We start from the raw sequence: 13937 nt of genomic DNA, 5'->3' as shown, positions 1-13937 counted from the left end.
TTTGTATCTATACACACCAGTAACCTGCTGAACTACAATGTGGCCTCCTGAAAAACTTACCTGTTAGGATATTATACCTGGAAATAATTGGTATCTAGTTTATCTCTCACTACGAATTCATGTGGGCCTTGTAGCCAAGCATACACAGATTATTAGTTTTTAAATCAGAATTGCTTACCACAGACTGATTGTCTATAAGGCCATAAACCCTGTGCGAACTGTGAACAGAATGAGGCTGCAAGGAGAAAGCATTGCCTGGTCTCCAAGCCTGCAGAGCTAAGGTTTGTGCTCAGGATCTACAGCAGTGGTCTAAGAAGGAAGCCAGTGGGCATCTTTCTCTTTCAGATGCAAAAGCCTTTTAGTAGGGACAAGCTGGAGGTCCATGAAGCAGTGGTCAGCTGCACTACAATTTGCTTCTGAGATGACAAAGGACACAAAGTACAAACAAGGCAAGGTTGGAGACCTCAGGGAGAGGCATTGGGTGACCCCAGTGTTGTCGGGCGCCTGAACTAGGTTGTATAACGTCTTTGCTTGGAAGCCCTCAATCAAGCAGGACTTCTGAGGCCTACAACTGTAATTTCAAACCACAAAAGGAAGCAGAACCCTCTCAAACTTTTATTTTGCTGAGGAAGTGGATGATTTAAATAAGTCTGCTTGACACATGCCTATCTGATTTCCCAATTCCCTTAGGTTTCTTGCAAGTCAGCCATAAAAGCTATTCCCCACTTGTTCTGACAGGATTTATGCATTCTACATCTGGTATTCAGCAAGCATATTTTTCTTCCTTTTTCATTGAACTTCTGCCCATACACACATACAGGGTCTCATTTTAATAGCGGGATTATTCCCTGTGTATTTAAATACACAGGAAACAGGAAATCATCTAAAAGAACACAGTGATCTCATGGTTATATCACTTTTCCCCACAAGCCCATTTGGAATTAGAGACAAAGACAAGATTCTGGAGCTTATAGCTTAGAGTTACTCAACCTGAGAGACAGATTGACCTTAAGTTCCCTCTACTGGTTCTTAACATAGTACAAATTAAGAAAACGAAATAGTACATTTATTCCAAGAGACAGGAGGGAAAAGGATTTTTTCCCAAATAAACCTCTATTCAGATTTCAGAAATGTAAGAAAATTCTTTCATATAGTTGCTGACTGAGGGAACTGTCAGAGGGTCTAGGGAAAACCTCTCCCTGGGTAGCAAGGGAAGGTTCCTAGGCATTTAAACATTGTGCACAGGTGGTCATAGATTCTTTCAAAGATGTGTGCAGAATGCAGAAACCTTAGCTCTGCAGGCTTGGGGACCAGTCCATACTTTCTCCCCACAGCCTCATCCTGTTTATGGCCTTGTAGACAATCAGTGTCTGTTAAGCAATTCTGATTTAAAAATTAGTAACGGTGTATGCCTGGCTACAACGCCTGCACTAATTTGTAGTGCTCATTCAAATATTGAGCACCAATATTTCTTGACCAAGTTTCATTTAATAATCACCAAAACCATATGAGATTGGTATTATTAGCCCCAATTACAGATGTGGAAATGAGTCTGGGCTTTTAACCACTCAATGCACTACAAGGCAGAGCATTTCTGCCAGTTAGAAATTCTCTCCAAGGGAGTCAGTTTCTTAGGATGCTCTCATTCTACAGCCCTAGAGAAAGACTTGAAAATACACTCTTCTTACAGGACACTGCAAACAAAACTTTGCAGGCTCCATCACAGAACCCTACCAGAAGGGACCAAAGGTGCTCAAAGCCATGGCTCTGAGACATGGAAGATCTCAAAGTCCTTTCTTCATCAAAGAAGAAAGAAATTAGGTTCTGTGTACTCTAATATATTCTATTACTTTAAACATTGGCATCTCTTTTTGGTACATATGTCAACTCTCTGTTAACCTGGATGTTTGATTAATCTGAATATGTTATTCCTCAATCATGCCAGAGAATAAAACATTTGTGAAAGCAGGATGCCCTCATTCTGCTGGACCAATGACTGTACTCCCAACTCTTTAGGAATTCCAAGTTTTCCTTCAATTTTGTTTAGCATCAGACATTTTGCTAGTGTTTATCCCACTTCCTTTTCTGTGCGTGTTCTCCTTTCCCACTCATCCAAACCCATCACAGTCCAAACCGGGTTCAGATCTTCCCCAAAGGCTCCATTATTGGCCACACACGTCTTTTAACTTCTTAAACATGCCCTCTCATCAGCCTATATAGCCTTGGAACTAGATTATTTTGCACCTATTCTGAAAACTTTGTAATTAATCTTGTCATTTTTTCCTGTGACATTCTTATTCTCCCTCACCTCCTGAAATCCTTTGCAGAGTGAAACAGCTATGTTGTGGGATCTTGAAGGTGCATGTACTTATACTTATGTAGATCAGTGGTGTGCTGGAACTGGCTTGTACCTGGTTGGAGAGCTAATTGTGGGCAGCGTGCTGAATGTCTCTTCCCAACTCCATTTTCAATGACATCACGTTGGTAGCTTGAATGTGGTCTTTGTGGGAACATTTATATCATGGAAATTAGCAAATACTACAAGCCAAGGCTTTGTTTTCCTCCTTTGGAGAACGAGTTTACCAGCACTGTGTCCTTGCTACTCAAAGTGTGGTTCACAGACCAGCAGCATGTACATCACTTGAGACCTTACTGAAATATGAAGTCCAGCATCTCACTTAAAGCCTCCCAAATCAGATTTTTGCATTTTAACAATAGCCTGGGATGATTTTTATATTAAAATGCGAGAAGCAAGAAACTTTTAAAAAACTCCTGCACTCTAGAATTCATTGATTTTAGACTGTGCTCAGTAACTTTGTTACATTGATTGAAATCCACAGTGTGAAACTGTTTCAGTTGTCAAGGCTGCTTGCCAAAGGGCTGAGATATATTTGTCCTATTTACATAACAATTACCATAAAATTCTGATTAATTTGTTTTTAAAAGTTTGAAGTGGGACAATGTCCCATAACTGGAAGAAATCTGTATTTTTAATATAAAATTAAAGACATACCAAACTAATAAGGGAAATCAAAGGGATTTTCAGGCACATAAAGATTTGGAGTGGAGAATCTTTTCTTCTTTCTACATACCATCTTGACGGACTTGTGGTGCCTAACATATTTACAAATCAAAAACATTTTAAAACCGTGGACTAATATCAAGAAAGCAGCTGTAGCATCTCTGTAGTAATTGCTTCTCCAGTGCAGTCAGTTGTAGTAGGGTGAAAAATCCACCAGTTTTATTTCTTTTTTTTTTTAATAAATTTCTGGGTAAAACATGAAGAATAAGTTCAGAAGTGCAAATGAAACTTGCAATACCAAATTCCAATCTGCAGTAATATAAATTTATGGAAAGCTGGGTCAGTTGAATATTTGTCTGAAAAAAAAGGCTAGATTATTAACAGAACATCATCTTTAGGGTGGGACTGTTTTGAGTTCAAATCCCAGCTCTGCCACTTACTAGCTGTGTGATCCTAGGACACTTTCTCTGTACCTTGATTCTTTACCTGTAAAATGGAAGTGTAAGAATATCACCTATCAAATCACATCTAGTAGTTTTAACAGCCACATTGCTGGTCACCTGTGGTTAACTGGTGACTCTGGAGCCAGAGTGCCTCATTTGAATCTTGGCCCAAACGCTAAGTGTGTAACACTGGGAAATTTTCTCATCTGTAAGATGTGGCTAGAATAAATAATTCAATCTATGTACAGTGCTTACAAGAGCCCCTGGCCCAAAGTACAAGGGCTCTGTAAGTACATTACCAAAGACTTCTATTAAATTTTTTTTTAGGTTTTTAATAGTATCTATCTGCCATTATATAAATGAGCTTGGGTCAGAGCTGGTCTGTAGCTCTGTAATATCAACTAAAGAAAATGCAGATTCATGAATGTCTTAGGTAAATATTGAGAGCACTACAGCCTAAGGCAATGGTTCACAGTGTCTTCTGAGGAGCTTTAAAGAACACTGATAACTGGGTACTACCCCCAGAGACTGATGTAATTAGGCATTAGGCATCTAAAATGCTCCCCAGGTGATGCTGTTGTGTACCCAGGATTGAGGAAAAACTGATCGAGGGACGTGAATAAGCAGGCGTGTAACCCAATGAAGAAACAAGAAGTGCAGTAATTTGGGAGAAGCAAATTGACAAGCTGTAATGACCTGGACATAACTGTTGCCTTTTTTGTTTCTAGGGTTGGCCTACTAGCTCTATAGGTCTGTTATCTTAAGGACGGATGGCGTGATCAAACTGGGGAGATGAGATATGTCTACCACCCACTGTTTAGACTCATCAAGGACTAATTTGACTAGGAAGTCAATTAATTATTTATAGTGAGTACTATCTCTTTCCAGGAAGAATACCTACTTGGGAAAACAAGTCAACATTAAAAAAACAAACAACAACAATAACAAAAACTGCTCAACCAACCTATGAAATCAGGAAAAGTCCCAAGAGCTGGAGGAGAAGTATAATATTGAAGGAGTAATACACTAAATTCTAGATTATATAATGATGGTTCTCACTCTATGCCACATGTTAGTATCACCTGGCAAGGGCCACACTGCAGACCAAGTAAATTAGAATACCTGTATCTTGCTTCTCAAAAATTTCTCAAATGGCTCCAAAGGGCAGCCAAGTTTGAAAAGTGATTAGATTATTTTTCCCACAATGATACCAAATTCCTCTATTTAATGTTCCAGTTCACTTGATAACACATTTACACTAAAAGTACCTGATTGATATAGAAAATGTGTTAACATGCCTTAATTCCTCCCCAATGTCTGCAAGTTTTATTTTTGATAAATATTCTTCTTGATCATTAGAATATAATTAATTATTGAATTTATGCAATTAACTAGTCATAATGGAAGTACCTTAAATATCAGAGTTGTGGAAAGTATTAGATCATGTATGTATAAAGACAGGAGTTATTTATTTGATGTTAGTTTGCATTTGCAGCACATATCTTACAGAGAAAAAGCAAACGAAGTCACAAAGTTTTATGACTCCTTTTATGACACCATATTGCAACTGTAAATTATCAGTCAATTCATATGTACAATTAGCTGTGTAGATTGTCACCTAATGATAATGGAAATGTTTTTTCCTTCGAAGAATTGGTGGAGAAAAGAGAGTTTCTGCATCTCCCTCTAGTTTATTACCAAGTGCAGTGAATTGCAAATAGTAAATACTCAGTAATGCTTTTAGAACTAAATTGCCTTAAAACCTTGCCTTCACAAAACTAAAATAACAACAAAACAGGTCTACAGTGTAAAGAATTGGGTTTTGCCTCTTGAATATATCATAAATGTTACACGCTCACATTATTTGAGTGATGCCAAGAATGTACATTTGGATTCAAGTTTTAGAGCATTCCATATTGTCCACAAGAGAGAACTTCCTTCTCTCAACTTCAATATTGGTGACTAAACTGTTACAAAATATTGAAATTACAGTTGACTCTTGAATAAGATGGGTTTGAACTGCACAGGTCTACTTATTCACAGACTTTTTCCAAACAAAAGCAGATCAAAAATACTACATATATATACACATACATATATATACACATACATATATACATATATGTATGTGTATATATGTATATACTGTATATATGTATGCATATATACACATACATATATGTATATATATATACAGTATTTTTGATCTGCTTTTGTTTGGAAAAAGTCTCTGTGTGTGTATATATATATACACATATGTGTGTGTATATGTATATATATACATATATGTATGTATGTACATATACACATATATACACACACATATACACATTTGACTTTTCATATACCTGGATTCTAAAGTCCCAATAGCACGACTTAAGTATGCATGGATTTGGGTATATGTGGGTGGTCCTGGAACCAATCCTCTGTGGATATCAAGGGACCACTCTACAGCCTTCTAAAAGTTACCCCCTCTACTACCTGCTCCTCTCTTTGTTGCTTCTAGTCTTCCACGCCTGATTCATTGATTCAAGAGAATTCAGGCAAGTATTGGTGGAATCACAGGAGCCAAAGCAGTGACTTCCCATTCTCAGGTCCTCAACACTCTTGACTGTGTAGCCATATTTACTGAGAATAAAAGTTATTGGGATTCCTCTTGTCACTGTAATTATTGCCCTTTTGAACACTTGCCTTGGTGATGGTATCTGCTTTCTCCTCTCATTTTCTGAAATTGCATAAATTGGTATAAATAACCTTACATGTATGCACAAGGATAATTTATTTTTTCCCATTTTTATTTTCCCCATTTTTAGCTATGTGGAACTAAATAAACACCACCAAAATGAGAACAAACAGAAGCTATTGATTCAGAGCTTGCCATAGCAAGTGAGTCAGCCACCATCACCTGTATTTGACAAAGACTCAAAGACAGATGGGAATGGGAACGTTTTACAGTAAAAAAAAAAAGGAAGGCTTCAGGGAAGCTGGAAGTGCACTAACTAGAAGTGGGGCATCCTAAGTGATTGTTTAGAGAAGGGTAACATATTTGGCTTTCTCTCCTTGGTCCTGAGTTGGAAGCAGAAGCCAAAAAAAAAAAAAAAGAAAAAAAAGGAAAGCTGGCAGTCATTGACCAAGCCCTGACCACTCTGGGCTGAAGGCCACAGAAGTGGGGTTTTGCTTCCTGGGCTGGTGGCCACAGAGATTGTGGGTCAGGGTTCTGTTGTCATAGGTGGTCTGGTCATAGTTCATTTGCATTTTCAGTCTCTCACTTAGAATTAGGAAATTCAGACAAAAAACTTCTTAAACCTGATTGGCAATTTGAGGCAAAATGACTACCTTTAGCTACTTGTGATTTTTGTGAAAATAGATAGAAATTATAAATAGGAATATTATTTCTCATTTTCCTTTCTTCTTATCCAACCATTTCTTTTGCATTAATTTGTCTGGCATTAGCAAAGAGCAAGAAATGCCTTTGTGGACACTGATCTTCAGCCTTAAATAATTATATAATAAATATACTTTATACTATATTTATTATATTTATTCTGTTATAATTATATTTATTTTATAATATAGACTATATATAATAAACATATATATTTAGTAAAATGTGTTGGATCAAGCTCAGCCAAACCAATTAATTTCAGAATCTTGGGATGGGAAGAAAGAGTAGATTGGGAAAACTTAGAAATCTGTACTTTTATAAGCTCCTCAAGGTGAGTCTAGTTTAGTAAAAGGTTGGAACCTTTGTTATAATTTAATGTCTTGCTTATTTTATTGTCTAAGAGTTTGAATGAAGCACTTTGGCACCAAGATTCTTGATTTTTCCATTAGCATGGAGTATTTTTATTCATAGGAATCAGAAAGTCTCTTCATTTTAAAAACAAATATTGGAAAGGCCTAAATTTTACATTTGGAATAGAACCATAAATAACAGCAATGGAAATTTGGAAGGAAGCTTAAAACAGTAATCAATTTGTCCTCGACTACCCCATCTTGAGGAAACAGGTGAAAAAAATTGGAGGGACCTCTAGTGAAGTTTTTAAAACCTTTCCCAGTAATACATTCTTTAGTGAAGAGAATTTAATTTTAAAAGGTTTATTTCTATCCAACTTATTTATTTATTTTCTTACCCAAAATTCTCTCAAGTTTAAAACGTTGTTTAAAACAAACAAACATAAAATCTAATATCTAGGCACTTATTGAAAACAGGGGGAAAAAGTATTGATTTTATCTTTCCCTTAAGCAAGTCTGTTCTAAATAATAAAATACAAGCTTTTTAGAAGTGATGGTTTCCAAACTTCATTCTTTTTCTTTTGCTTGTCAAGATTTAAGTATACAACACTATCTCTAAAAAAAAAAAAAAAAAAAAAAAAAAAAAATTGCAAACCGGGGCTCCAGGCACATAAGATCCTTTGCAGTGTGCCACTAGATAGCCAACAATAGGTGCTAGGCTTACAAGAAGATGAGTTGGGTTAGAGGGTGGACTGAGAAAGTGTAAAAATATACAACTGTGATGAACCAGCTAGTGGTGGGTTTTGGAGTCACTAGCTTTATTTTTACATTTAATCCATATTAGATTGTCAACTTTCAGAGTGGCCAGTATTCAACCTTTTGTATGTAGGATTAGCGGTGATAAGCGAGTGTCCAGAAAAAGAGGCTTAGAGGAAATTTATAATCAAACCATGACACAATAGGAAGTGGTTGAGTTTAGACAGCAACCAGGTGGTGATAAGTTAACCAACACTACCACGTTTCCTTCTCATCTCAATAAAATATAGATTCCCCAGGAGAACTCTGGACAAATACATATACACATATATATATACACGCATATATAAACATACACACATACACACACTTTAGAAGACATATACATATATATTTGTCTTCTGAAGACATATATGTTTCTAGATACATATATTCATGTTTCTACTTTAGAAGACATACATATTTGTAGACATATATATTTAGAAGGCATATATAGATATATAAAATATAGAAGACATACATATTTGTAGACATATATATTTAGAAGGCATATATAGATATATAAAATATATATATATGTAGATATATATATATGTCTTCTAAAGTAGAAACATGAATAGAAAGGAGGCCTAAAGACAACAAAAGCCAAAATTGACAAATGGTATCTAATTAAACTAAAGAGCTTCTGCACAGCAAAAGAAACTATCACCAGAGTGAACAGGCAACCTACAGAATGGGAGAAAATTTTTGCAATCTATCCATCTGACAAAGGGCTAATATCCAGAATCTACAAATAACTTAAAAAATGTTACAAGGAAAAAAACAACTTCATCAAAAAGTGGGCAAAGGATATGAACAGACACTTCTCAAAAGAAGACATTTATGCAGCCAACAAACATATGACAAAAAGCTCATCATCACTGGTCATTAGAGAAATGCAAATAAAAACCACAATGAGATACCATCTCATGCCCGTTAGAATGGCGATCATTAAAAAGTCAGGAAACAAAAGATGCTGGAGAGGATGCGGAGAAATAGGAATGCTTTTACACTGTTGGTGGGAGTGTAAATTAGTTCAACCATTGTGGAAGACAGTGTGGCAATTCCTCAAGGATCTAGAACTAGAAATACCATTTGACCCAGCAATCCCATCACTGGGTATATACCCAAAGGATTATAAATCATTCTGCTATAAAGACACATGCACACGTATGTTTACTGTGGCACTGTTAACAATAGCAAAGACTTGGAACCAACCCAAATGCCCATCAACAATAGATTGGATAAAGAAAATGTGGCACATATACATCATGGAATACTATGCAGCCATAAAAAAGAATGAGTTCATGTCCTTTGCAGGGACATGGATGAAGCTGGAAACCATCATTCTCAGCAAACTAACACAGGAACAGAAAACCAAACATTGCATATTCTCACTCATAACTGGGAGTTGAACAATGAGAACACATGGACACTGGGAGTGGAACATCACACACCGGGGCCTGTCAGTGGGGTGTGGGGCTAAGGGAAGGATAGCATTAAGAGAAATATCTTATGTAGATGACAGGTTGATGGGTGCAGCAAACCACAATCACACGTGTATGCCTATGTAACAAACCTGCATGTTCTGCACATGTATCCCAGAACTTAAAGTATAATTAAAAAAAAAATACAAAAATGTGTATTAGCATATTAAAGGTTTTGAAGGAAAAAAAAGGAGGCCTACAGAAATTTCACAGTAGTTTAAGACTACTCTTTTGACTTTGGTAAATTAATTAACTCTTCATCTCAGTTTTCCCCATCTGCAAGGGAAGAATAATAACAGCAGCAACACCATAGGGTTATCTGGGTATTAGCCCATTTTCACAGTTATAAAGAATACCTGAGACTGGGTAATTCATGAAGGAAAGAGGTTTAATTGACTCACAGTTCAACATGGCTGGGGAGGCCTCAGGAAACTTACAATCATGGCAGAAGGGGAGGGAGAAGCAAGGCATGTCTTACATGGTGGCAGGAGAGAGAGAGAGTGCATAGGGGAAATTGCCACTTCTAAAACCATCAGATCTGGTAAGAACTCCCTGACTATCACAAGAACAGCATGGGGAAACCGCTCCCATAATCCAATCACCTCCCACCAGGTTCCTCCCATAACATAAGGGATTACAATTAAAGGTGAGATTTGGGTGGAGCCACAGAGTCAAATCATACCAACATATTAGATAATTATACGAACATAGCTTGGCATTAGACAATCATACAATAAGTGTTAGCTATTTTTTTATTAATGTAATATCCATCCAATAGATATAAAAATCTGGCTGGAACTGAAAAAAAAATGCACTATGAGTTTCTACCAAGAAATTATGGGATTGGGGCAGGGAGCGGGAATGATATGCCCAAAGTACTTGAATTTCGAGTTAAATGTCATTCACATACACTTTTATGACTGGAAAGGATGTAACCTCACCTGAATTGTATTTTCTTTATAGACTCCGTTACTATAAAAAGACACCCCTTAAATTTCTACCAAATTACACATCTAGGACTCCTTAGAATGTATGTTTATTTTTAATTTGAAGGTGCCCTTGGGTGTTCCCATGTTCACAGGCAAAGCTAAAGACTTCAAAAGTGTTCAAGGATTGATTGGCTGGTTCAGTGTTGAAATGTAATTTGCATCCCATACCTTCCTAAACTCCCATGAACTGGAACTCAGAAACATTTCCCTGTGAAAGTAGCTCTCAGAAGTAGCTGTTTGTTTATTCATTTACTCAGGACCAAATACTAAGCAGACACCCACAAAAGTAGCTAATTTAGGAATCTCAGGAAACACATTTTCTAAGGTTGCATCTGTCATATTAATTTTATATTGCTTGACATAAAATCTTTCAGTTTTCCTTTAGTAATCTAGGATCTTATATGAAATCTCTCTGGCCTTATAAATTCATGAATCCTGAATAAAATGAGTAAGCAAAATTTAAACAAATCCTGTTTTCCTAGGTGCTTGGACCCTCGTAAATAAAGTCTAAAACATTTTAAATTACTCTATCCTAGTGTGTCTTTCTTTTCTGTTTTTCTTCCATTAGGAAGAATTTGTTGTGAGACCAGGTGAAGAAATTCAAGAAGCTTAAGAAATGGCCCCAAATTTCAAAGATTTTATAATTTCACAAGAAAACAAATAATAGCCATATAATAATTATAACAGAAAATGATTAAGTGTCAAATGGATGTCAAAGGAGTTCATAGAAGACCCTTCCTAGGGGTTAATTTGGTCCCTGGAGGAAAAAAGCATTACCTTCAGTGACTCCTCAAGTCCTGGAAGAATGAGTGAATTTGCAAAAGGCAGAGAGCATTTGGGAGATTATTCAAAATGGAGAGAACGAGAGAAATAAGAACTACATATTCAGACAGTCAAGAAATAACAGGATAAGATGGAATTGAACACAACATTTCCAGACATTTAGATATAGGGATTAAAAGCATTTTTTTACATATTAAATATATAGCAGAACACAAAAGCAAGAAAGGAAATCTCCAAATGCTAGAACATAGAGCCAACATGACAATGTATCTGGAACTAAGGGAGATTACAGGTCTCAAAGTCTGGGATTTTCATGGCTATTCAAGGCCAGAAGCTGGCCAGGAAAATATGTTTATAGAAGGAATAAGAACTGGGCTTCCTGTGCAGAATCAGAACCCTAGAAAGCACTGCACTAACCTTGAAGGAACCAGATCATCTCTGCCTGCATACCCAAGATAACTGCTGGAAATGAGCCAATAGCCCCACCATGTGGGTAAAATAGGAGTCTTCTAGAGATATAAGAACCCCAAGACTGAACAACAGGTGGGAGTAGGAATAGACTCAGAATTCCAGGCTGAAAAACTAACACAAAAAATAATTCAGAATCAGTGTGTCTTGAAGGTGCTGACAGGAACACCAGTGGAAACCACCCCAGGTGGTTATCCGGATCTCTAGAAAAGATACTTCCTTCTGAAGTAAACTCGTAAGCAAAATAAAACAGAATTTTAAAAAATAGGACACTTAGCATCATGAAAGACAGCTTACAGGACATGAGGAACCAACAAGAATAGAACAACATGAAAGAGAGCTGACAATAAGTATGTTTACAGTATTTAAAATATAAAGGAAGAAATGGCATCTGTAAAATAAAAACAGCAAGTTATGAAACAGGCTCTTAAAAGTCAAGTGTAAGTACAGTCATTAAATCTCTTTAGAAATCTAAGCAAATGGATTATACAAGACAAATCATGCTTGAAGATGAGTTAGAAGATGGAACAGAACATCTCTGTGACATGGAGGACAAAAATAAAGGAATGGAGGATATAAAACAGAAGTTAGGAATCATAAATGCTCTAGTATCTGCCTCAGAGAAATTCCAAAGACATAAATAAACAAACAGCAAATAAGCAATATGCTAAGATATAATGGTACAGACTTTTCCAAAAATCCGAAGGTACAAATCCTCTGATAGAAAGCATTCACCAAAGGCTAAGAAGAATAAATAGAAATATGAGGGGAAAAGGTTTAAATAAAGCAAAAAAAAATCTGTGAAAGATTAGTGTGTAATGTGGTTGAGAAAGTCAGTTGGGTCAGATTACAGAGGCTCTGGAAATCAGGCTAAGGAGTTTTGACTGTATCTTGTAGGAAGTGAACACCATGAACAAATGTGTAGTGGAGTTGCTGCAAAAAAAAAAAAATGTAATGCTGTAGGACATTTGAAACAGGAATAATGCAGTGGTGTTTTCCATGAAAGAAAGAATTTTTATCTAAATTATCGTTTTATATCTTTACTATACTTCATGTTTCATATTTTGTTTTAAATAGTCAAAAAGTATTTCCAAATACTCTGAAATGTTACTTTTAAGTATTATATTTATAAAGGCTGTGAAATTCTAAAGGTGTTAAAAAACAAAAAAATCAAAAATAATATAGACAAAAATCTTAAGGAGCCGTATAGTCTATATTCATAGACCAAAGCTTTTCAAATGAATAAAGCAGATAAAAAACCATTATTTTAATGATTTCCAGAAAGGAGGACACTCATTTCTTGTTTAACAACATGGTAGAGGGTCAAGTGCAGAGCCAAAGTCTGAGGAGATAGAGCTGATGAGCCAGTCCGTTTCCTGAAGGCAATTGCTGATTATCCAGTAGGGAGATAAACTAAATATCAATTAACACAAGACTGCGGGCAATGTGCTGTCAGAGGGGTACACATTCTTCATGACAGGAGCCCCAGAGGAGGACTTCTAACTAAACTACTGGAAGCTGGGGAGTCTTCTAAGATGTCATTATGCTGAAGCTGCAGCTGAGAAGTTGGATTCACTAAACCAAAGGCCTTCTATACCTTCAGCGCACTGCAGGCATGAGTTGTTGTTTATGGCTGAGGCACAAGGAACAAAAGGGGACATCCTGAAAAGGGGGCTGGAGAAAGGTAAGGGAAGGCCAAATCATGAAATGCTTTCTTGGGGCCATTCTTTAGAGTATAACTTTCTACAATTGGTGATAGGAAGTCAAAAATGCCCCAGAAGCCAACATCAGATTTGGATTTGTGTTCGAGAATGATCACTTTGGGAACCATGCGGAGGGTGGATGACAAAGGGACGAGATCAGAGGCAGCGAGACAGACCCCCAGGGAAGAAAAATACAACGATCCAAGCAGGAAATGATGAAAGCCTCAGCCTAAGGCTTTTTAACATTGGAGATGGAAAGGAAACTTTTTGTTTTTGTGGTGCAGAATTTTTTCTCCAATGAAATCTTATGTGAAACATTACAATATAAAACCAGTAACCGCAGAGCTGATGGAGGGAGAGGTGGAAGACGTGAGTCACTCTGCTCTGCACCAGCTCCTGGCATCCTGCAGCAGCCCCTGAGACCCCCCTAAGAAACACAGTTTGACAACCCCTGGACCAAAGAGATATATTTAAGATGTAGAATCAATGCTTCCACCCATTTTATTTAATAA

General features: G+C 36.7%; 1 long non-coding RNA gene across 4 annotated transcripts in view; it reads right to left on the bottom strand.

The window, feature by feature from the left end:
- The window catches only part of AHI1-DT (AHI1 divergent transcript), a 218255-nt gene that overhangs the window by 28244 nt on the left and 176074 nt on the right, over positions 1–13937 (bottom strand). The window lies entirely within an intron of this gene.

Source organism: Homo sapiens, chromosome 6 (genome assembly GCF_000001405.40).
Source record: "Homo sapiens chromosome 6, GRCh38.p14 Primary Assembly".
Taxonomy (NCBI): domain Eukaryota; kingdom Metazoa; phylum Chordata; class Mammalia; order Primates; family Hominidae; genus Homo; species Homo sapiens.
Note: the sequence above shows the minus strand (reverse complement) of the source record. Positions and strands in the feature narration are given on the sequence as shown.